The following is a 25828-nucleotide window of genomic DNA, read 5'->3' as shown; positions in this document are numbered from 1 at the left end:
ATGCTAGTGGTCCTTCAATCTTGTTTATCCTTTCAAGTAATCAACTTTTAGTTTTATTGATCCTTTATATAGATTTTGGGGCCTCAATTTTATTCAGTTCTTCTCAGATTTTTGTTACTTTCTTCTGCTACCTTTGGGGTTAGTTGGTTCTTATTTTTCTAGTTCCTCTAGGTATGATGTTAGATTGTTAATTTGAGATCTTTCTAACTTTTTGAGATAGGCATTTAGCACTATAAACTTTCCTCTTAAAAAAACAGTGGCTTTTGCTACATCCCAGAAATTTTGATATATTGTGTGTCTGTTTTAATTTATTTCAAATTTTTTTATATTTGCTTTGATTTTATTGTTTACCCAATAGTCATTCAGGACAAAATTGTTTAATTTCCATGTATGTGTGGTTTTGAGAGATCTTTTTGGTATTGATTTTTAGTTTTAATCCATTGTGGTCCAAGAGTAAATATGGTTGGTATGATTTCAATTTTTTTTTTAATTATTAAGACTTGTTTTATGGCTGAGCATGTGGTTGATTTGGAGTATGTTCCATGTGAAAAGGAGAGAAATGTATATTCTGTGATTGATGGGTGGAGTATTCTGTAGACATCTGTTATGTGTAATTGGTCAAGCAATCAGATTTATTTTTATAAGACAGAGACAGAAAGACTTTTCAGACAGAAAGGGAGAGGTGAGGGTGACCACAGAGGCAGAGATTAGAGTGATATGACCACAAATCAACAGCTGCCTGTAGCCACCAGAAGCTGGAAGAGTCAAGAAGCTAATTTTCGTCTAGAGAGGAGGGAGCATGACCCTGCCAATGCTTGGATTTCATACTTCTTCATTTCTGTTGTTTTAAGCCACCAAGTTTGTGGTAATTTGTTACAGTACCACAAGAAACTAATATAACTCTCATCCATTCTAAAGTATAGTAAAATTTTGATTTCTAAATTGGACAAGGGCAGTATGAGAAAAGAGAAAATTAGGCAAAACTTCATATGTGAATGACTATAATGCAAAAATCCCAAAGAAATACCATGTTACTAGATTCAACCATATGTTTGTGTGTGTATGTGTATAAAATATATATGTACATACAAGCACTCTTTATAGATTTTCATTCTTTCCTTTTTTCTAATACATCCATTTGGAAAATTATTTTTAATGTTTTCAGTATATATGTGTATATATGTATAAATATACATTAAAAACTTAAGAGTTGCACAAAAAGTGAACATAGAAACATGAAAGGCATAAAATTATTAAGATAATAGTTAAATTTTTCAAAAATGAAACATATCAGTTTTTAGATAGAAGGAATCATCAAGTACCTAACTCAGTGACTAAAACAGGCTCACACTAAGCTACATCATAGAGAAATTTCAGAACACTGGGGACAAAGAAACCATCCTGTAGATTTCCGGAAGAAAATAAAAGATCATCAAAAGAAATGCTGGCAACTCAAAGGCAACAGATAAGCACCTTCAAAAATCTAAAGGGAAATTATTTTCATCTTCATATTTGATACTGAGCCAGACTATTAAACATCAGGATAGAATAAAAACATTTTTGACATATTAAATGTCAGTAAATTTATTTTCCATGTAACCTTTTCCTAAAAACTACTTGAGAATGTACTTCACAAAAGCTACCAAGAAAATCTGGGGGAAAGCATACAACAGATACAGTAAACAGAAGATCACGCATGAAATAGACATGAAGAGAACCCCTGGGACGATCATTTAGGGAGATGCCAGGATAGCAGCTATACGTAGAAGGCACCTGTCCAGAAAGCAGCAAGTCAGAAGGCTCCAAGATAAACTCACTTAGAAAAATAAAATAATAGAATCTCTGAAGGATCTAATTATCTTAGGATGAGATTTAAACACCTGGCAAAGTTTGAGGTTGAATTCTAACAAGTATATACAAAATTAAGCAAACAAAGCCTAAGAAATTATTAGTTGTAAGTAAAACAAAAAGTTGTTCAGGAAACAGAATTTTTATAGGTGGATGGACTGTGAATGGCCTTTACATAGTCATAATATACAAACATTGAATATTATTGTTAACCAAAAGGATTATAATGAAAGAATGGGAGGATTTGTAAGATTTACGAAGGTTTGTAACTCTACAGAGAGGTAAAATCTTACCTTCCATAGTGGTAGTTCAATTGATAATGTCTAAAACTAGACATGTAATAAATAGTAATTCAAGTATATTATTTCAAAACATAGGGCTATATACCAAAAAAAAACAAGTAAAGGATTAAAATTTTGTCTCTGAGGAAGGATGAGGTTAGGAAAGATGTGAGGGGTAGGAAAGCAACTGTAGCTTTAAAAAAAAACTTGTAGAAATATTTGACTCTTCAAACTATATGCATATATAACTTTGTTAACAAATTAAAACTAAATTATCAACTCAATGAACACTTTAAAAAATCTGATAGAATTCAACACCATAAATGTTTGCTCATGGCAAACATTCCAAATAATAGCTAAACCACAAAAGCTTGCCATTTACAGTCAGGAATGAGGAGTGAACAGTGTCCCAACTACTTTAGGGTGCAACTTGGCAATACCCAGTAAAGCTGAAGTTATGCTTCCACGACTTTCCATAACAGAGGAATTATTTAGTAGGTACACAAGAAGACATGTAAAAGAATGTTCACTTCAAGGTCAAGAGATTGAGACCATCCTGGCCAACATGGTGAAACCCCATCTCTACTAAAAATCCAAAAATTAGTTGGGCGTGGTACCACGTGCCTGTAGTCCCAGCTACTCGGGAAGCTGAGGCAGGAGAATTGCTTGAACCCAGGAGTTGGAGGTTGCAGTGAGCAAAGATCACGCCATTGCACTTCAGCCTGGCAACAGAGTGAGACTTCCTCTCAAAAAAAAAAAAAAAAAGAAAGAAAGTATTTTCACGTCAATGGTGCTGGATTAGTGCAAAAAGGACAACAGTGGTGAAATAAATAAACTACATTTTATTTAGCAACCATCTTCTTGGTCTTACCTTATTTTCCTAGTCTTATTTTCCCTTTGCTTCATCTTCTGAGTGTATCTTAAGTAAACTTCGTTTTGCTACTTTACAAACAAACAAATGGGAAAGTATGTGTGCTAATATTTATGTTCTTAACCAAAATATTTGTGTGATGCTTTATTTTTTAGGTTTCCAACCTCTGCTTAATTGACACGCACTCACACACATATATGTACACACATACACACACATTTATTGAGTCTAAACAGCACATGTGCCAGAAATATAATATTAGATCAGTTTTCAAACTGTGTCCTACAAATTATAAAATATAATTTTCCCTATTCAAAAAAATCTTTATAATTTATCACTGTCAATTTCTGGCAAGTTCTACTTCCACTAGTCTTAAAGAGTTTGCAGAAGTTCACACAAGAAATGTCTTAGTTCATTGATCAAAATCTGCTTACGTTTATGACATATAGCATGTGCTGTCCTTTGGAGATACAATATTAAGACAGTGACTATCCTCAAGAAGCTTGTATTCTAGTGGAGACAACAGGCAAGCAAATAGGCAATTAAAGTAATGTGCCCCATCATAGATGACCTAACCCAGGCTAGAGGATAGCTTGAAGACATCTGTAGTGGGCTAAATTTTGTTCCCCCACAAAACATGTTCAAGTTCTAACCCCTACTACTTGTGAATTTGACCTAATTTGGAAATTAGGTCTTTGCAAATGTAATAAACTAGTAGGAGGTCATATTGGCATGGGATAGGCCCTAGCACCAGTGACTAGTGTTCCTATAAGAAGAGAGAGACACACAGACACACAGCAAAGGTCATGTGAAAACAGAAGCAGAGACTAGAGTGAAATGAAGACATGCCAAAGATTGCTGGCAACCACCAGAAACGGAAGAGGCAAGAAAGAGCTTTCAGATGGACCATGGCCCTGAAGACACCTTGATTTTGGACTTCTAGCTTCCAAACTGAGAAATCATAAATTTCAGTTGTTTTAAGCTACCCCATTTGTGGTAATTTGTTACAGAAGCCCTAGAAATTGCAGATAGTATTGTATGAAAGATGACTTGAAATCTGAGATCAGAAGGGCCCATAGGTGTTGTGCAGAAGACAGTGGGGAAAATATTCCAGAGAAAATGGCATAGAACAGAGGCTTGGAGGTGTGACAGAGCTCCAGGCCATTGGGAGAACACATCCATTACTACTACTGGAGTTTAGGGCAGATCTGGCAAGAGTTGAGTTTAGAGAAGTAAGTCTAGGACTAATTATGGATGGTCTGTGTGGATACCATCCTTTGGGCTCCAGAGGGCCACTGAAGTCTTAAGCAGGGGCCTGAATTAACTGATTTGTGTTTCCAAGGAGGTCACTGCAATAATACAAGTGATGTACCATGATGACTCAAATTAGTCATCATAGAAATAGAAACGGATGAATGTGAAAGATGCTAAGGAATCCATCTACACCAGTGGTTTTCAAAGTGTGGTCTCTGAATCAACAGGATCACTTGAGAATTTGTTGGAAATTTAAATTCTCAGACCCTATCCCAGAAACCCTGAAGCTGAGGCCAAGCAATTTGTGTTTTAACAAGCCCACAAAGTAATTTTGATGCATGCTAAAATTTGAAAGCCACCAAGCTATGGAAATTGGTGATTGGATGTGCAGATTGAAGGAGAGAAAGAGAAATAAGGATAATGTCCAATTTCTGGCTTGAGCAACTGGGCAGTAAAGAGAAAAATAAAAATCCAGATAAACAATGTGCAAGTGCTTTGTAAATTGGGTTCTACTCACAGTCCATAGATACCTCGGCAGGGACCAGTTTAGTCTTGAGCAATCTCTGAACAGCAGAGTCTACCTTCAAAGCTCATGAAAATGTTAGAGGTTTTACACTGTCCTCCAAATTTGACTTTCCTCATTCTAACTTCTGTTGAAAATCAATTTTTGCTTTATCAACAAATAGCGTTGCAGCCAGAGTCCTTTACAATTCCATTTCACATGAAGGTTCTGAATTTGCTGCTGAGATAACACATGGGAAGGAGTTTAAAGAGGAGAGAGACCGCATTAGTGAAAAGGATGCAATCTCCATGAAATTAATCTTTCTTCTTTCAACAATCTGTTTTGGGCCTTTAAATGTGTCTCATAAATATTTTCTAGCCCAACATTTTTAGGGTCCCAAAAATGAGAACTCTATGAATAAATTATTTGTTTTAGTGACTAGCTTAGGTTTAGATAACAAAGCCTGGTGCAATAGTGCACCTTTGAAGAGGTACTGCGTTACCACATACCTGAACGACTGCAAAAACCTCCCGAGATCTGGGTTCCCTTCACTTCATCAATGTAGCCCATCAATGTCAGATTATCTTCTTGAAGTGTCTAGAATAAAATTTTCATTAAGTTTCTTACCTTTTTATGCATACAACATTGAAATGAGAGAGAACTGTCATATGTCTTGATAGGTAGGGATTATCCGTTGACGAAGACTCAGTGGGAAAAATTAAAAAGTGAATTTCATTCTTAGTAATTTGCTGTCTTTTTTGCTTCCTTGAAAAATCTGTTGGAAAAACCTAAAGAAAGATTGGATAGAAAAGTGGTTTGGGGTTTGTAAATTCATATGCAAGTGTAAGGTGGGGATAGTGTCCCTGAAAGACATTTCTTCCTCGGGTGAATTGGTCAAGCACATTGCAAAAGCATTAAGACAATGCTTAGGCTGGAGTGCTGAGTGAAAGGGGCTGCTGCCTGTAGGACTAGAGATTGGGACCACGCAAGGTCCCAGGGCACAGAGTGCAGTCATTCCTTTGGGGATGATCAAGAAGCATCATACTGGTGACCATCAAAGGACAGTAAATATAGCTCTAATTCAGACACCATTGGGTGTTCGCCAGCCCAGCAAATGCCAGGTGCTGTCTCGGCTTCCCTGTGGCTTCCATCTGCTGATGATGGCAGTGTTCACTTGAGAAGGTGTGCAGGTGATCTGCACACCCAGATCTCATAACCATGGTCCCTTCAGATCCAACCCTCTTGTCTTAGACCATTTTAAATGGGCTAATCCACACAGAGTTACAGAGCTTGCTCTAATCCTCCCTCATCTCTGTTCCCTCTCTTATCTTCTTTCTATTCTGATGAATCATTTTTCTTCCCCCAGCCAAGTGGGTAAAAAGGTCAGGATCTTACACAAAATGTTTTTTCCTAAACTTTTATCTACTCCTTTACTCCGTTTTCTTCTCTTAGAGGCCCAGGTTTTTGAAATCTAAAAGGCAGAAAAGATTCATTTTCCTCTCTGTTATCACTTTTTATTTTGGGGCCTAGGCAAGCAATTAGCTCAGGCTACCATAGTTTCTTCAATGAGAGGAAGGGAAAGCTGGAAGAAAACAATCTCCACAAAAATCATAGCTAAGATTAAGCTGAACCATAAGAAACTCCAGTATTCAACCCTTTTTACCTACAAAATAGCAATTTCAAATTGTTCAACTAATTTTTTAAACCTTTTTCCCCTACATAAAAGGTTATCAAAAGGCTTTACTGTAGCACAAATTACTGCTTTAAAAAAAGCATAACCAAACATGGTGCAAGCAAAGAATTAAGAAACTTTTAGTCTGAAAGTGGGTTAACTAAGGTAGAATTAGTCAAAGATAATTTACCAGAAGAAATGAGCTGTATTAGTCTTAAGGCAGGGATATGAGCTACCAGGGACACTCAGAGCACATTAGGTGCTGGAATGGCTTTAGTGGTGATGAATTGCTTGAAAGGCAAATTGATTGAGTGAGAAATGGGACTTCGCATTAATCATCAAAAGATGCACCCAGGTAACTGACAAAGGGAGTCTCACAGTTGCTCTGGGTTTGTGATTCTAATGTGTAAATCTGTCTTCTTTAAGTAAGCCTCATGGTGTAGTGGAAAGAACACTAGACCAAGAATTAAAAGACCTGATTTTTCATCCTAATCCTAACACAACAGGCTGGAGAAGCTCGAAAGACTCACTAGGCTTTGTCAGGCTGTATTGCAATATCTACTGACAAAAAAATGAAGGATAATCACACCTTTCCTGCCTCCCTCACAGAACTATTGTCAGGATCAAATAAAATCATGTAAAGAAGGTGTAAAAAATGCAAGTAATTCCTTTATTTATAGTAACTGCTCTTGAAGTCTCATTTAGGCACTGTGTGGCTTCATGTGTATTATTGATATCAAATTCAGAAAAGATGAAAATAAACTCCTCTTCAGATGCCCAAGAAATGTCAATAACATTTCAAATATGAATGATAAACGCACCATTAGCACAATCTCAAATTATTGCCCCAGGCTCTGGCTTGATAAATACTCTCTCTGGTTAGAAAAAAACATGATTTTTCTTACATCTTTAATCTCCTTCATCTTCTCTTCCTCCTTCTCCTCTTTCATCCTGTTTTTCTTTCTCCTTTCCTTCTTCTCTCTCCTCTTTCTTCTCCCTCCTTCTCCATCTCAATTTGCTAAGCATTTCCTAAAGCCAGAGTCTAGCATGTCTTTTATATAATTATTCACCTTTAATTATGTGTTATTCTTTTTTCTATGCTCTTTCTGTTCCCTGATCAAGCCAATTGTGCTAAATATTTACTTCAAAATGTAAATTTGCATAATATACACTTTTGTAAGTAATATATTTAATTGGAAGGAAACAGCCTGTGTTTAGAAAATCAACCTATCTTTTCCCCACACTAGAACCCCACATACACCCTGTGGGTTTCTCCAGTCAGTGGAATTTTGGGGATCCATCATGGATTCAGGCCATTCCTGTCAACCTGACTTTCCACACCCTCGGGGGAGCTTGGCTTGGCTGGCTTGGTCCCTGCCCTGTCCTCCACAGCTGTTCCACAAGCACTTTGAGTGCTCCTGCTGCTGTAAGGTTATCTCAGGAAGCCCTGGATACAATCCCTCCATGTTATTTCTCTTCCCATCTTACTTAACCTCTCATATTAGCGACAATAACAGTCACTAGGATGTCAGAGGCCCATCTGTGAGGGGCTAATTGATTTCCCTCCATCACTCTCAATTTATTTTCTTTTTCCTCACCTCCAGAAGCACTCCCGGAACCAAAGGCCAGGGCAACAGCTCATGTTGGCAAAATCCTGCTTTTATTATTCCTTCCCTGGCAACAATTATTTATCCAGCTTGTGAAGTGACTGAGGACATCACACCGACCATCTGTTTCCCTCTGTCTGAATGCGTTAATGTAGTTAGACTCCATTTCCAGGAACAGCTCACTGATGCTGCCTGCGTTTTCTCCATTTGCCTTTGCCAGCTTTGGCTGCGTCTTCACTGGGGTTGGCATTTTCACTTCACACTTGTTCATTTGATTAGCAGCTTCCTCTTGCGAATTAACTGTTTAGCTTCCACAGAGTGAGCTCTTGGTTAGCTTTCCCTTCATGCCTGAAAGGGTTCCTTTCATTTCATCTATGCTGACACCATCTCTTTTCTTCAGGACCAAGTTCTCTTGGCTCCATCTCCAAGGTACTTCTCAGCCCTCCTCCCATTCTCCTGCAGTGACCTCCTGGTTATGACTGTCATCTTTTCTTGCCTGGAAGACTGGAACACCCATTCTCCTTGTAGGCAACTCTGACCTCCTGCAAACCACAAAGGCCAAGAGATTTTCCTGAAACACAATGGCACTGCCCTGCTTGAATCTCCCAGGAATTTTCCACTGGTCTTGGCTAATGCCCATCCTCTTTGGTCTTGACACACAATGTCTTATAATCTCCCCTCTGCTTTTCTCTCTAGCAGCATATTGTGTTATGTCCTCATGCTTGTTTCCTTCTCTTGCAAAGCCCTGATGATACTCCTGAATTAGGTGTGGAGGGGAGGGATTTTGCCCCTTGGATTACAATTGGCATGTCTGGAGACACCTCTGGTTGTCACAACTGGGGGAGGGAGAAACTACTGACACTGAGCGACCAGGGATGCTGTTAAACATCCTACAATGTAGAGGACAGCTGCACACAGCAAAGAATTATCCAGCCCCAAATGTTGATAATATTGAGGCTGAAAAACCCTACTCTAGCCAGACTAACTTACTTGGAGTTCTCTGGATGCACTATACCCTGTTGTGCCTCCATACCTGGGATCAATGATCTTTCTTCTCCAACATATCTCTCTTTGCCATAATTTGCCTGTTACTAACTGCCCTCGAAGGCCCAGCCCAAGGATCCCCACATTTTGATTGCCTGACCATGGATGATGTCTGATCCCTCTTCTGAGTTTCCGGTCACCCAAAAACATGAGCCATATACATTTATAGGGCATCTACTAAGTACCAGTACTGTGTTCAGTTCTAATACTAAAATCATGAGCAAAACTAACACGGGCACTGCATTTATAAAATCTACAGTCCAGAGGTGGAAATAGAAAGTCAGTAAATAGTCACCCCAATAAATGTGCTGCCCAACACTCTCTGCACACCTCCTCTCCATACCAGAGGACTCACACCTTTATTTTATTCTTGAGTTTTGTTCAAGGGTCTCCTGTAGGGCAGGCATTGGCAAACTTTTTTTTTTGATCCGGTGTTCTCATTTCTTAAAAACTCTTGAGCATGTGACCAGAATCTAAGTTCCTCAGCGCTGTACACCAGGCCACTCCCAATGGCCCGCCCTCCTTTCATCTCCTTCCCTTCCTCTGCACCCTCTGTCCTGCTATGCTCCCGGCCACACCACATGGTGTAAACTGCCTTCCTTCACCCCCTCATTCTTTTGGTAAGTTTCCCTTTTTCCTTTTTTTTTTTTTTTTTTTGCTCTTGAGACGGAGTCTTGCTCTGTCACCAGGCTGGAGTGCTGTGGCGCGCTCTCAGTTCACGGCAACCTCCGCCTCCTGGGTTCAAGCGATTTTCCTGCCTCAGCCTCTGGAGTATCTGGGACTACAGGCATGCACCACCACACCTGGCTAACTTTTTGTATTTTAGTAGAGATGGGGTTTCACCATGTTGGCCAGGATGTTCTCGATCTCCTGACCTCGTGATCCACCCGCCTCAGCCTCCCAAAGTGCTGGGACTACAGGCATGAGCCACCGCGCCCAGCCAAGTTTCCCTTTTTCCATCAATACCTATATCATATGTCACTGCCACTTTACAGGTTTTCAAAACACAGCATTATCTTCTTTATTTATGGGCACCCATTGCACATGGTTACATATTCATATGTTAACACTCAGTTTAAAAAATGGTGAAAATCATAGTTCTGGAGTCTGACAGAGATGAACTTAATTTTTCTAAGCTGCAATTTCTTTATCTGAGCAATAATAAAATAATAGTCCCTACCTCATGTTTCTAAAAATATTAAATAAAGTAATCCAACACAGTATTAAGGAGTCAATAAATGTTAATGGTTATTACTCTCTCTAACCATATCATAGGACACGTAACTGATAAGAAATACAGTTCTTATCCTCAAGGAGAAAGCAGTTAGTCCAGGGAAATGAACTGCTTTCTCCTTGAGAATAAGAACTGTATTTTATTCATCATTGTTGCTCAGAGACAAGAAACACCTGAACAGTAGATGCTTGGTGAATGTTTGAGTAAAGAAAGGATGCAGGCCCAGTTACAGTGATCTTTCCTGTAGCAACTTAATACCTAACATTAATTGAGTACTTACCAGGTACAGATGTGGGGTAAACACTTTCACAGGTTGTCTTAATCCTCATCACAACGCCCTCTGATATTGGTACCGTTATTATCAGTCTCCATCTTACAGATGAGAAAACTGAGGTACAGAGGGATAGAGCCTGACTAAGGTTATACAGTTAAGGGGCAGAGTTCAAATTTAAATGCATGGTGTCTGATTCCAAATCATTCGATCTAGAACATTAGACAATTAGATTAAATCAATATTTATTCCAAGAATTCATTGATATGCAGTGCAATGGATACACAAATAAGCTTTTTGTTTAGAGATAGATGATACAAAAACACTTTTCTACAGACATCAAAATTAGTTCAGGTGGAGGAATTCTCAGCAAGAAATAGTAAGCAGGGTGTTGGCTTGTGGGATGGGTGGGTGGGAGGCATTTATCTCCTCACTCAAACCAGGTGCTTTTCAACCAAGGCAACGACACATATGTCTTCTCTTTTTCCCCCAAGATCTTCTATAGTAAACAGTGTGAGAAATATGTAAATAGGAGAGAAAAGAATTAGAGTGATAAATACATCACATCAGGAAAATTGACAGAAAAATGGTTCATTGACAGAGGAATGACAAAACACCTCGGTGGACTTCCTAAACAGGGATGTCATTGTCATCTACCCACACAGGCCACCTAAATGTCAGGTTTTTACTGGGAGAAGGAGAAGGGAAGAATTAATGAAGTAAATATGAGAAGCAGTCTCTGCAACATCTCAGTCACAGGTGGTTTCTCTAACAGGAGTTTGCAGCACATAACTCGGCTGTAAAGAGGATCCAGGCAGTTCTTAAGCTACCTGGGCTCCCGGTACCTATTTAAATTATTAATTTTAGCCAAATGAGAATCTTCCCCGCAGGAAAGTCGGGTGAGCTACTAAGTTTCACAATTTGCTCTTAGAGAAAACTGTAATTAATTCTCCAAAAAGTCACTGGGATGTAAAACTTGCAATATAGGGAGCAAATGTTATTAAAGCTTCAAGCTTTTCCCATTTATTCATGATGCTGCTACCCCATTCTATTACGCAGTTCTTGGGTCCAGGCCATGGGCTTAGGTTATAGGTGGCACAGTTATAATGAGGTCCTACAGGCTAGCCTGATGGCTGAATCTCCCAGCTTGGAGAGGAAAAAGACCTCAAGTATGTCCTTAAACCCATCTAAACGTTGCAGAAGAGGTGAGACACAGTGGTATATATGCCTGTTTACATGCTCCTATTAACTCCCTTTGTTCTCTGCTCTTCTGACTGAAGAGCCCATAAGCCACAGAGACCCCAGAAAATCAAATACAGTTGAAATCATGAGCTCAAAGAAAGGGGAAGTTATAGGGAGGGGCAGAGAAGAAAGATAACCATTTGGATTATGAATTTGAGAAAAACATTGCCTCAATGGCCTCAATGTAATTGATTTGCGGGGATATGGAATATATTGAAGAGGAAACAAAAGGGAACCACTTGATTTGCAAATAATCAAAGAGGAAAAATAAGTAAATTATCTGTGGAAGCTATTTGATTAAAAATATGCCCTTTAACTACATATTATTTCACTTTTTGCAATGCAGCAGAGGTATTTCCCCAAAGATACATTGGTGTACTATTCACATGAAGAAGAAAGACATGCTGGGCAGACAAAGGAAGCATATGTCCTTTGCACAGATTATATATGGAATCATCTCTATCATTCAATTTATGGCATTCAACAAGAAAGAAAAACCAAACTGGATCCTGTGTATGCATACAAATCTTTAAATAATTAAAATGAAATAAAATATTCTTAACATGGGAACTAAATGACCACAATTTTGTATTCCACATCCTCTCACACCTACAGAAATTTCCTAAATATTTGTCAAAATGATGGATAAATTTATTAAATTATTAGAGATGTGGCTTATAGTTTCATAAAACCAAGGGTTCTTTATACACATTACATCATACTTATTACATATCTAATTTTACTGGCAAAACACCAATAATTATATGTTATACATGTAGTATACATTCCATATGATATAGATTATTTATATGATATAGATTACATCAATATCTGCTTATATATCATATAATTATGTCTATTATATATATTATATATAATATATCAAATTTAAAAGTATACATTGCAAATCACCAATAATAGAGATTTCTGGTGAATAGAATTTTCTAGCTGACAGAATTTTTGGTAAAAGAATCTAGTTTTGTCATTGGTCAATAAAAGATATGATGGAGAAATAATTACCCTGAATGACCAGGGAGTCTGGGAAACTAAATTTAACTTCAAGACTCATTGATTTATTCCTGTTATATCCGAGAAATTAACTCCTTTGGTATTTGTAACTTTACTTTCCACTGGAAGCAGCACATTTTAACTCTGAACCCAATTATCCTTAGTAGTTCAGCCTTTGCTTTGTCTTCAAAGCCCATCTAGACAAATGCTTTCTCTGGAATACATTTCTTTCCTTGTAAGAATGAATAAAATGAATCTGCAATCAGAAAGACAGCCAGGGTGTGATTAGTCAGGGTGCACTGGATAAACAGTGTTTATACTTCCCCACATTTTGACAAAATTCACAATACTGCAAATTGTAAAATTCACTTTGAATTTTTCAGGGGAAATTAAAATTAAGTACTGAGCACCATGACTTTACTGCCCTCCTCGCCAGACGTGCAGCATGCAGATGGCACTCATTCATCTGGTCGTAAATCACGGTGGGTCTTGTAAAGCCCTTGGCTGGGGCTTAGGGTCCTCTTCCTGGTGCCACCTGTGGTCCTGGTTCCCTGTATCTATTCGAGCAGGGCCCTGCTGTGGCCTTCAGACCTGCTATGAGACAATGGCACTGCCACAAGCATTAGCATGGCACTTCCATTTCTGAACAGAATGCCCCCAGAACAAGGCAGGGGCTGAGGAAACTCACTGGGCACAATGAATAAACTAGAACCAGACACGGAATTGAGCAGGTTTATCTGTCAGAAAGGAGGCAGGAGTGGGAGAAAGGAAAGACAAGGGAGGCAAAAGAAGCTTGCAAGGGAAGCAAGGGGAGGAAAAGGCGGAAAGATTTTTTAAAGTGGAGGGAGAAGGAGGAGAGAGAAAGTCTCATCCTAAACGGCGAAGGGGAAGAGGTCAAGACTGAGGCTGAGACAGAGAGTGACACTGCTGGAGAGGGAGACCTGAGGAGCAACACTGAGAGATAAGACAGCTTAAAGCTGTCTTGCACTGCAGGCAGTGATACAACCAGGAACCGGCAAGTGAGGGACTAGTGAAAACAACAGTAAAGCAAAAATGCACCACAGGATTACCAAAAATAAAGCTAAAACAGATTGTATGTGTATTTCAGTGTAGAGAAATGTAAGAGCACAAATGAGGAGTGAGAAGGTCTCTAGTCTTCATTGTGCCATTAATAATAAAAACTCTCATGGCAACATTTATTAGGGATTGCTGTTTTCCAGGCATGGTGCTAAGGGTTTCCCAAGTACCCTCTTGTTTGATCCTTACAGCAACTCTATGCAGCAGATCATACTATCTTTCCTCTTTGGAAGAGGAAGACACTGGAAAATACTCAGCAAGGTCAGACTTGGCCCAAGGTCACCCAGCTGTGTGATGAGGGGAAGGGGGCTGGGAAGGGTAGTAAGGAGAAAGCTGGAACAGGTGTCAGGTGTCACAACCAGTTGGCAGCTTCAACCTCACATATCAGGATCTGGCTTAAGAATTTTGTGTGACAAAAGAGTTTATCAGCTAGATACATCCACATTACTAACCAGATACCTCCTGAAATTCTTTCCTGTTCTTGAACTCAACTCAACGCATAAAGTTCTTTCCTTGAAACTAACCAATGAATGATGCTGAGATTGTAGGTGGCCCAGGATTCTTTCTCTAAGGTCTTTCCTTTTTAAAACAACTGTTTACAGCAGGGGAAGAGGGTGACACACACACATACACACACACCCCAGAACACACAATTATAACTAATTTTCCTATTTATTTTATTCATGAAGATGAGGAGAAAGACTACAGCTTTGTTCCAGAAATATAAGTGGTCAAATTGGCACATGGGCTGTGATGGTTAGCAACCAGCATTTACAAGCCTTTTACCTGAGAAAAGAAAGAATCTCTGGGTGTGAATGAGGGAGTCCTTGTGGCTGTGAAACTTGAGATATCACACTTATGCCCTGCAGCTTGGTCATTCCCACTCATTTCTAAATATTGTAAACAACTTCCTTACTGCAGCAAAGACATCTCACCTGTTGCCAGAAGTCAAAGCCAATACAACCATGGTGCCCACAGCAGGCACTGAGCCATCAATAATACCATGTCTCTGTAATAAACTCTCAATGGAAGTGCAACCCAAGGCCAGTCCTGTCTACTGGGGGGTCTTTTCCTTTTCTTATGAAAGTGGATGGGGCTTTTTTGTAAGCAGAAATTGAGTAAAGGCTGTGAAGGAAGACCAGGGGAGAGAGCTGTCCCCAAATGTTTCTAGGCTACCTCAAAGCTGATACTTGTGTCTCTCAATCCCCTACACAACTCACACAGACACACACACACACACACACACAACTCAGTTACAGAAAAAGTTAGAGAATAAAGTATTTCTTTACTGTAGGTTTTCTTGAAAAAGGAACACAATAAATCACAGCAAAGCATACTAAAATTTCTTGTACCCATCTTGCTGAAGTCTTCATGAGGCCTACTTACAAATCTCCTCTCCTAGATTCTCTTGTCTGGGTCACTTGGTGCCACATCATCTCTCAACCATTCCCTTTATTCAGTTCTCTTGCCTCTCTCACGTCCTACTTCCTTCCCCAAGCTCTAGCACTTGCGGCCAGGTAGCTGACCTGCAGCTGTTTCCAGCACACAGGACATCCAGTCCATCCAGGTCTGATTGCTCACTTCTCTCTGAGGGCATCTCCCTAGAATACAAACCTCTTTATAGAAAGAAGGGAAGAAAATAAAAAACTGTTATGAACAAGATGTGGAATCCTGGGAGAGTTAAGAAGTGAAAGGCACAAGAAGGCTTAGACCCAAATGATGTGCAGATTAATGGGGTGTTTTAATGAGTGGCTTATTAGGAAATTGTAGATAAACCAAAGCAAAGACAGGAGAAGGGCCCAGTTAGGACATTTTAAATATAGAATGAAGAAAAAAGAGCTAGTCAAATTAATGCCATTTTCTTCATTGTTTAACATGAAATGGATTAAATGAAATGACTAAAATATTACATAATGGAAAATATCAACTGCAAGTAATATTCACAATAGCAAATGGAGAAATTATGTTTTAGTTCAGATGCCATAAGCAGAATTGAATATGATGGCCCCACAATTTGCTGCATTTGGAGAGATGTGTAAGAAACTAATGGAAGAATCTTAATGACACAGACAGGCATTGGACTTTGCAGTGGAGGAGGGGATTGCATCTCACTTAAGTACTTCCTCCTCCTTCTCTCCCTCCCATTCCTGCTAAATGGAAATCAGACACATGTGTCAAGGGGACTCGGTCACTTTGTCTGCATATTAACTGTTATATTAAGATTTGCTGCAAAAAGACAGTCCATTAAAGTTTTGCCTCTGAAGAGGGAAAGGAGTGGAAATAAATTATCAGCTGAAGGACATTTTGGGAAGTGTTCTTTTGAGCATTCATTATTACTATTTAAGACTAATTGAAATCAATTGTTCCAGTGCCTCAACTCTGCCCAGTTTTGTTTTGCCCTTGGGAAAGCTTTATCTCTTCCCACATCTGAGTCAACAAACAGGGTTCAGATTTGTTAGCTCTGTTACAAAAATACAAGAGGCCTCAATGATGTATTAATAATTCAGCTTTCAAAACCGACTGTGTTTTCACTGGAATGCAGAATTGGGGTCTATGCTTTCTCATGAGAAGTCAGAGCAGGAGGGATTCTGGGAAGATGGTGTGACACTCACTGAGGGATGGCTTGGTCAGCTTAAGGGCATGTGAAGCTGAGGGGCAATTCCCTGAGGCAGTGTCAAAATGGTTCAACCAAATCATCTTCAGGGAGACATTATTTATGGTATACCTCCCATGACTCTTTCAGGAAACTACAGCCCAGTATCATCAGGCCTTCCTGACTTTGCACTTGGTGTACCCTCTGCCTGGTATTCCCTTTTCTAGTCTGAAGTACAGGTGGATTATGTGATTCTTGAGCACTGGGAAAAGTCCTGCACTTAAAATGTAAATGACATGAGTCTGCTGTGGTGCCTGAAATCCCCACACCAGTCATTTCAAAGGTTATAAATTTGAAGGAAGGTCTTAAATATTTCCAATTTTTTGTAGTTAATTGAGCTGAATCACATTATCGTATTAATCATAAAAGAGACCAAGGTGCAAAAGAATGGGACATTGGATAGATCAGTTTTGTTGGGAAATTAAATGAAGAAGAAGAGAGGACACATGCTTCCAGTAGAGTGGGTTGGTGGAAAGAGAATTGAACCAAGAATCAGAGGTCTGGGGTTTGAATCTTTGTTTCTTACAAACTACAGTCTTTGGATGAGTCATTGGGAATTTTAGAATCTTGGTTTTCTTATTGTAAAACTAGGTTAATAGCATCTCTTCCTTAGTAACCTCACAGGGCTATTGCAATTACAGCAAAAGGTGATCAGAGAAGGTCCAGGTTCTGTGAAGCCTGAAACTAATAGAATTTGGGGGACCCTCTTTAAGGAAAAAGATCACAAAATTATAAAAAAAAAAGATAGAAATTTAGAATATGAAAAGAAATCATAATACATTATGAAAAAACCTGTATCCACCTTCAAAAAACAACAACAACAACAAACTAAAACAACAACAACCAAAAATTACTCCCAGCTCAAATTTATCATAGCCACTTGCCAAAAATACCTGTGGTCACACCAAAGCCAGCAGCCAGGGGGAGCAACATGATAGAGAGGAAGTTGAAGTAAAGAAAGTTGTCTTAACAAACGACAGTTAAAATGCCTACTTTGCAAATTTTATAAAAAAATGCAGACTATATGAATACATTGCAAGCAGTGTTTTCCATTGAAAGGCGCTAGTACCATTGAAAAGCCCAGAAGCTAAAGTTTTGTTAATGATACGGTGTTGCTGTATCCACATCCAAATCTCATTTTGAATTTTAGCTCCAATAATTCCCACTTGTCATCCTGGGAGGAACCCAGTGGGAGGTAACTGAATCATTGGGTGGGGGGTCTTTCTCATGGTAGTGAATAAGTCATATAAGACCTGATGGTTTTACAAATAGGAGCTCCCCTACACACGCTCTCTCTCTTACCTGCCACCATGTAAGACGTGACTTTGCTCCTCCTTTGGCTTCTGCCATGATTGTGAGGCCTTCCTAGCCATGTGGAACTGAGTGTCTATTAAACCTCTTTTTCTTTATAAATTACCCAGTCTTGGGTATATCTTTATTAGCAGCATGAGAACAGACTAATACAGTTAGCTTTATGGTAAACAACTTTCTGAGATGATGTTTGTTAAAGGTTGTCATGAGTTGTGAACTATAGTACTGTATAAATGAAAGGTATTGTTTCCATGTTTCCCATTTCCAGAGCTGTCACCTGATACAAAGTATGTTAAAAAGGCTACCCTTCTAATATCACTGCAGTAAGGTTGGTGTAAGTTGGAGTTTAGATTATTTGTATCACAGCTACAACCCATATTTCTCAATGAAAAGTTCATATTTACTTAAATTTCCTGTCTCAGAATATATATACCCAATTCCATGTAGAAAGCAAGATTTCAATTTATAAGTCATTAGTTCAGTCTATAGAACACTTAAAATACATACCTCTATTAGTAGCACTGCATTGTCTCTTGATTTATAACAAAATACCCTGAGATGTAGAGTGGTGTCTTAAAACAATAATAATCATGTATTTTCTCATGTATTCTCATGCTATGTGTGGGTCAGATATTTGGAAGTTGTTCAGCTGAGTGCTTCTGGCTTCGGGTCTCATGTGTTTGTAGTCGGATGTTGGCTGGGGCTGCAGTCATCTGTAGGCTTAACAAAGGCTAGAGGATTTACTTCCATGGGGCTCACTGGCATAGCTGACAAGTTGGTCCTGGCTGTTAGCTTGGAGCCTCAGTTCTACCCCATGTAGGGGCCTCTCTTGGGCTACTTAAGTGTCCCCATAGCATGGTGGCCAGCTTCCCCCAGAGCAAGCAACCAGAGAGAGAGAAAACATCCTTGCCATTTATGACCCAACATAGGAAGTCATCAATGTCGTTTTCCTTGGATTCTCTTGGAACAGGAGTTACAAAGTCAGTCTAGATGCAAGTGGAAGAAATATAAACCTTACCTCTCAAAGGAGGTTTGTCAGCATTTACATGATAAGAAGAGCACACAGAATGAAATATGTACTGGCACAAACATCTTTGGCAAAAAAAAAAAAAACAAAAAACAATTTGCCACAACCTCCCTCACAGAAGCCTGGGAGATGGTTAAGGCAAATATTTTAGTCTTTCTTCATCAAGAGGGAGCACTTTAAAATGTGTTATCAAAAAGCAGCCCAATAGGTCTGGGTTCAAATCCTCTCTTAATATTTTATTTTCTGAGTCACGCAGGGAAAAGTTACTTAACCTCCCAGGGTTTTTGTTGCCTTGTCTGTAAACTCAAATATGATAGAATTCTCATGAGGCTTAAATGAGGTAAAATCTAAAGGGATCAGCCCAGGGACTGGCACGAAGTAAATGCCAATACACAGTAGGTACATTTTGGAGACACATAAACAGAAGCTGAAACATTAAATAATTGCTCATTAAATAATTTCTCAAGGTTGCAAACAAGAAAAAATAAAATTATTGAAGCAAAATCTTTTAACCTAAAATACATAAAAATCTTTTAATCTGCAGTCTAAGATCTCTTAACCAAAAGTCTTCATGGTAACAGGTGAGTGAATATTGCACTCACATGATGAGTAAATGACTGTGTATGTTCATATAGGGTTGGTTCTTATGATTTGATTTGAAATAGACTCTTCTTATAGTCTAACTTTAAATACCAACTGAAAAGCTAAAAGCCTCCAAGTTCCAGGTGCCCATTACTTAGTTTTGGATAATAAATGTGATCCACATTATTGATTATGCAAGTACTGAACTTATGAATTACTTTTTAATTATTCAAGTTGATAGGACATACAATACTTATAATTAATAGGAGCCTGGAGTTGGGAGCAAATTTCCATTTTTTCCTTTAGTTAACAGTCTTGGTATAAACAATAATACAGCTAAGTTTGGCACATAGGAAAATGTGATCATATTTTAAAATTGAGCATGTTAACCAACCATGTTCTCTTTTTGAATATTAAGGGTGATTAAGGGGCTTTGTTTATCTCAAATTATTTGGGACATATTTGCTGAGAGTTTGAGGGAAAGGGTGAGTAGAAAGTGTTTAATGCATTTAGAATATGTATAAGGTTTCTGTAATTCATCAGCTCCACTTTTTCATGCCTTCGTATGTATTTCCAGAGACTGCATACATTATACAGTGATAAATAGGGTGCTTATTAATAAAATTTGTTGCTCTTGCCCAGAATATATATATTTTCACATTAATTTAAGAAATTCTAAATGGTATCCTTAAAAAATGACTGTTTATACCAGACTTGAACTCCAGGGTAAACCAGAGTTATTAGGAGTTCAACAAACAGAAAGTTTGACTTATCTTGACTTTTGCAGAGGATGACACCCACCCTTTCCATCAAGACTAAGAAACAAAGCAAATTAAAGCATAAAATCCTATCTTGGACCTTCAACAATGCTTGAGATCTTCAGTGTTCAAAATATTGTGCTAGGCAAATGTATCCCGCACTCCCAAGGTAGTTAATGATCTCAGAAAAGCCTATCTATTCTATCTGCCTCTAAGAGAGTCACTGGGTACCCTCACACATTAAAGGTTCTCAGAAATCAAATAACAAGTTGCTTAGTTTAACTCAGTTGCTGGGTTGAACTCAGTGTTTCTCAAGTGTATTTGAACAGGGAGTTCTTTTTTTTTCCTCCAAGGAACACCGATTGGCACCTCATAGATCTCGTCTTCTTTTAAGGGCTACACTCCCACTATCCCAGTGGATGTGCATGATCCCGTCTTATTTAACCAAACTCCTCCTGATGGATCTTTGTTACCATGCTTTTGCAATTTTCAACCTCCATTTGTAAATTGTAGCACAATAGCCATGGTTATTGTCTTTAGATAGATTTCTAAATTTAGGATGCATGGTCTTGACCCACTCTTGATGTATAAGCTATAAAACCATCTCTGAATGTCACTAAAGTTGCACCCTGGAAATGAGAATGCAGTCATCCCTCCTCTGCAATGGAAATCTTATGGTTTCTGTGTAGTGACTGTTCGGGCAAGAGGTGCTGACATTCAGGAACAGACAGAGCACCATTAGCTGCATTTCTATGGAAACCAGCTCTCTGCTTGGCCCTGATCCCTATTCTGGATTGGGATATGTATTTTCACTAAGTGTAAAGTTGGCCACAGAAGGAGCAGGTGAGCACCTCTGTCTTCCTAGATAAGATTTTGCGATAATGTGTGTGCTTATTCTGAATTGCACTCAGACAGCCCATGGAATTGCTGAGTTAACTGCACAAGTCACCAAGTACCCATGTTTCATCTGCATTTCCCCTGCCAAGTGCATTTAGTCCCCCTCTTATTTGTTTTCTGCTGTTGGCTGGTCACAAAAAAGAAGCAAATCAACCACAAAGAACAACACTCCGAAGTCCATCTGTTGCCTGGGGCACTAGTGAGACTCATTCTGCTCAGCTTTTAACTCTGTTTCCAGTGGCGAATATAATCTCTCAGTCAACACTTGGCCAAATGACTCATTTGCAGTCAGCAACCAGATATATTCTTGTGCATAAACATATTTATGTATTTTGGAAAAACTCTGAGCCCATCCAATTCTATGACTATGATATTTGCACCAATCCTGGCTTACTGTTTTACCACTTTCCAGAACAAACCCCCTTTGTATGTGTTGCTGTATCCAAACATCACTAGCTAGTGCTGTACTCACTCCTGTATCCAAACATGACTAGCAGGTACCATTCCTTCTTCCCCAAGTAACTTTCATTCTTTTTCACCTTTCCTCAACCCCATATCCTTCCTCCCCAATTTTATGATTTTCACCTGTTCTTAGAGGCTCAGATCTTATCCAAAACCTTCCTGAAGCTTCTTCTGCCCATCAGAGCCTAATAGGACCTCTTTCTCCTCATTTTATTAGGCATTCACCATATTTGGACTTGTGTTCTCATTTATCTTTTTTAAAAATGTGTTTTGTCTTCAGCTGGATTATAAGTATCTTGAAGTAAGTTACTTTCTTTTCATCCTTTTTGAATTATGAACCATAGATTCTCTTTTGTTTGCTAGAGATTTCAGGGCAAAGCCACCGATGATGTATGCCCAAGTTTGGCACAGAACCTGCTGGGTAACTGCCAACCACTTTCTCAGATTTTTAGGCAATGAGAGTGCCCAGGATACCTGTCTCAAATGTTAACTATAGTAACTAGTTAGAGAAGAAAGATTAACTACAAACATTTATTAAAATCCCTCTATCAGCTAGGACCCATCCTAGGTTCTGGAATTAATCAGTGAATAAGACAGACACAGATCCTGCCCTCATGGAGCAAATGCACTGAAGATCTTTCACTCTTGGAAGACTATGAACCCAACCTTGAAAGCTGAGAGGTAAAAGAAATATGAGTGGCCATTTGGAATTCTGGACATAAAATATAGGCATCACCTGTTTTATGCAGACATGCTGGTATGTGGTTGCATAAAATGGGGCCTTTTTATTATTCTTTTATGGATTGGCCATAGACTATGCAATACAAGTGGGACATAAAAGAATAATGGAAAAGACGAGACCTGACTAAATAAATCCTTTGAGAGCTTTTTTTCCTTAACACTTTGTCATGAGAATAAATTCTCCTTGTACTGGTTTTTGCTTCTGTTCTTTTCTAGGTCACTAAAAATGAAAATATATTAGAAGAATGGCATGCATATTAAAAATCTTTGCAATATCTCCAACTCAACACTAGACCTTTACGTACCAAAAGGAAATACCCAAAATGAATACCTTGGAGGAAGGGCACTGGATAACATTTGGAAAACCTGAAAATATCTACTCATTTGTCTAGGGTGATGGCTAATACTGTAATAAGAAACTAAATCCAAACAAATTATGAGACAGTTTTTAGTGACAGTTTTCAGATTGCAATCACACATATCGTGAACACATAATAAACATTAGATAATCCTCATGATGTTAGAAGAATGTTCTGCAGAATAAATAATATGAGGGGGTTAGGGTGATGCAATTTTAGTGTAGAACCTGGGCCCATATATATGAGACAACAGGCTACAAATGTATCATTTCCGTAATATGATATAAAATAGCTTCTCGTTGTTAGCAATTCCCAAGCCACAGTGAACGATAGATGAATGATTGGAAGGTAGAATCAGAATGCTCTATGATAAAAATGAGGTATTGATTCTGCTAGATTTTAATTTAGATTAGTTTACTTAGAAAAAGTAATAAATTGAAATGTACTCAACACAGCTTACATTCAAAATGACTTATCAGGATTTCAAAATGAAACCTTAGGCAAGCAATAATTTTAACTGTAGCACTCACCTAAGTTGCCCACACTAAATTACAGCATCTTTGCAAATAATTTGGACAAGAATAAGACAAGTAATATATCTCTGGATGACTAATGGGAGCTTGCACTGCAATGCCAGAAGAAAAGATGGGAAAAGAACTGGAAGTGAGTGTCTGGCTATAATAAATTAGGAAGACAAACATCTGAACTATTAGAAAAGTGATTCAATGTAAGCCATGCTGTATGTTTGCTCGATGCCTAATTCAGTTTGATGGTCTCAGATTGTCAGATGAAAGGCATTATCTGTAGGCAAATGTGGAACTGGATTTCTTTTTATTCATATCTAGGTTTCCTGAGATATTAATTTGTTGCTACTAACTTTAGCTTGAAAAAAATTTTCAATTCAGTCTTTTTAGCTTTTTATATGAAATTAAATAAAATAGTGCATATAAATCTGATAATACAAAGCTTAGTCTATACTGGAATGATAATAATTATGATCACTAATAATAATTGAGCTCTTATTATAAGCCAGACACTAAGCTCAACATTCTTATTATTGCATTAAATGTGGAGTTCAGAAAGTATTAAGTTCCTTTATGTGCAATTATGACTCACTTTTGCATTTAGTTTTACATTTTCTAGGTTGAACTGATGATCACAAAACTAGAATTTTTTAGTCTTTTATTTGCATACTACTAATTGAAGATTGAAGGCCCTATGACCAAGTATACTTTTACTGTCTTCAGCACTTTTCAATTCATACCATGTTCAGGATGAATATTTTGTGTGTGCAGCATACACACACACACACACACACACACACACACACACACACACACACACAAATTCAGATATGCTCTTACAAGGATTCCCAATTTAAATAGCTTTTTCTCCTGGCCCTTTTTGAGGAGCTGGCCTTTACCAGATGATCATTATTAAGTGTTTTCCCTGGTGTACATAATTTGTAGAATCCATCTCTGAAATTGTTAACTGCCCTTAGTAAAGAATGACTTCGTTTCTGGCTCTTTCATAATAATAGCTCAGCTTTCTGATCTCCACTTGAAAGAATTTCTCTTTTGTAGGTTCAATACTACCTCCTTAGAAGTGAGGTTCTTTGTTAAAGGTTTAGCTCCTGTAGCATTCTGGGATGCTTCTGGGGCCATTAAGCTTAATGAGTTAACAATTTTTTTCCAAAGTGTGTATGAGGTGCCTACTGAAGATAACTTTTACAGGTTCTCCTGATTTATTACAAAGACAGTCCCTTTTCAACAAAAGCTTTCAGGCTGAACTTTCATGCTCGTCTAAGGGAAGCAAACTTTTGGTCTCAATTGCTGCATAATACATCACATGCCGTTTTTGTATTCTTGGGCTATTATGTAACCAAGCTATCAGTTACATCAAAGCTTGTCTCTCTACATAAAGATGAATTGACAATAGATAAATCCCTTCTCTCTCCAACTTTTTTTAATAGAATTCCATTGAATAAGGACAACCTTTTCCTTTTTAAATGAGATTAAAATTTCACACATATTTATCAAACGGTCAAAGCAGAATTAGCAACTTTTACCATAGAAGTGTTTTTTTTTTTTTTCTTAATAGAGAGCCTCTAAAAGGCAAACCCCATGGAACCATCAGAGGACCTTTTTAGAAGCAAGTCTTCAAAGCATTCCTTTAGCAGAGGGTGTCAGTCTCATAATAGGGACTCCTAAAGTCCCTCACACTCGATACTCACCCTATCTGAGACTTCAAAGGGGACTCTTGACCCAGAGGAAGAGGAGGCAGAAGCAAAGTTCCTGCAAAGACAAAAAGGCAGGAAGAGCCCCTGACCTGTTAGCCAGAGATGACACGAGCTCTAGCTCATGTGAGGCAGCTCCGTGGGGTCACCTTGAAACCACTTTCTACAGCGAAAGAAGTCAGTGCCCTTCGCCCCTAAAGAGACCCTCTGACCTTCGCCAGTCCTCCGCTCTGATTCCGGCTCTCATATTTCTAAAATGATAGGGTTCGGCATAAAAGCCTTCAGTTCTGTAAACTTTGTTCACCACTTGTAAAATAGCCAGCCCGAGATCAGCATGACATGCAAGTTGCTGTGGGACCTTGTGCAAGTTTCTTAACATCTCTGTGCCCCTGACTCTCATTTGTAAAATGTGGACAATTTATTCATTTAGCAAATATTTTTCGAATGTTTCTGAATGTGCCAGGAACTGTTTTAGTTACTAAGACTACATCAGTGACCCCCGCCAAAAGGCAACAAATTAAGAAATCTGTACCTTAAATTAGCATACGTTCTACTAAGAGGATTTAGACAATTTTTAAAAATTAAATAAATAAATTACTGCAGAGAAGAGTAAAGCACAGAAAGGAGAATAGAAGTGGAGGTGAGAGTTGCAGTTTTTTCTTTTTGTTGTTTTTTTGTTTTTGAGACAGAGTCTTGCTCTGTGGCTCAGATTGGAATGTGGTGGCGTGATCTTGGCTCACTGCAGCCTCCACCTCCTGGGTTCAAGTGATTCTCCTGCCTCAGCCCCCTGAGTAGCTGGGATTAGAGGCGTGTGCCACCACTCCCAGCTAATTTTTGTACTTTTAATAGAGACGGGGTTTCACTATGTTGGTCAGGCTGGTCTTGAACTCT

At 38.6% G+C, this 25828-nt stretch overlaps 1 long non-coding RNA gene across 5 annotated transcripts in view; it reads left to right on the top strand.

The window, feature by feature from the left end:
- LOC105375716 (uncharacterized) overlaps positions 1–25828 on the top strand; it is a 436284-nt gene that overhangs the window by 267210 nt on the left and 143246 nt on the right. The window lies entirely within an intron of this gene.

The sequence above is a fragment of the Homo sapiens genome, chromosome 8 (assembly GCF_000001405.40).
Source record: "Homo sapiens chromosome 8, GRCh38.p14 Primary Assembly".
NCBI classification, from domain to species: domain Eukaryota; kingdom Metazoa; phylum Chordata; class Mammalia; order Primates; family Hominidae; genus Homo; species Homo sapiens.
This window is presented reverse-complemented; position numbering and strand designations above follow the sequence as displayed.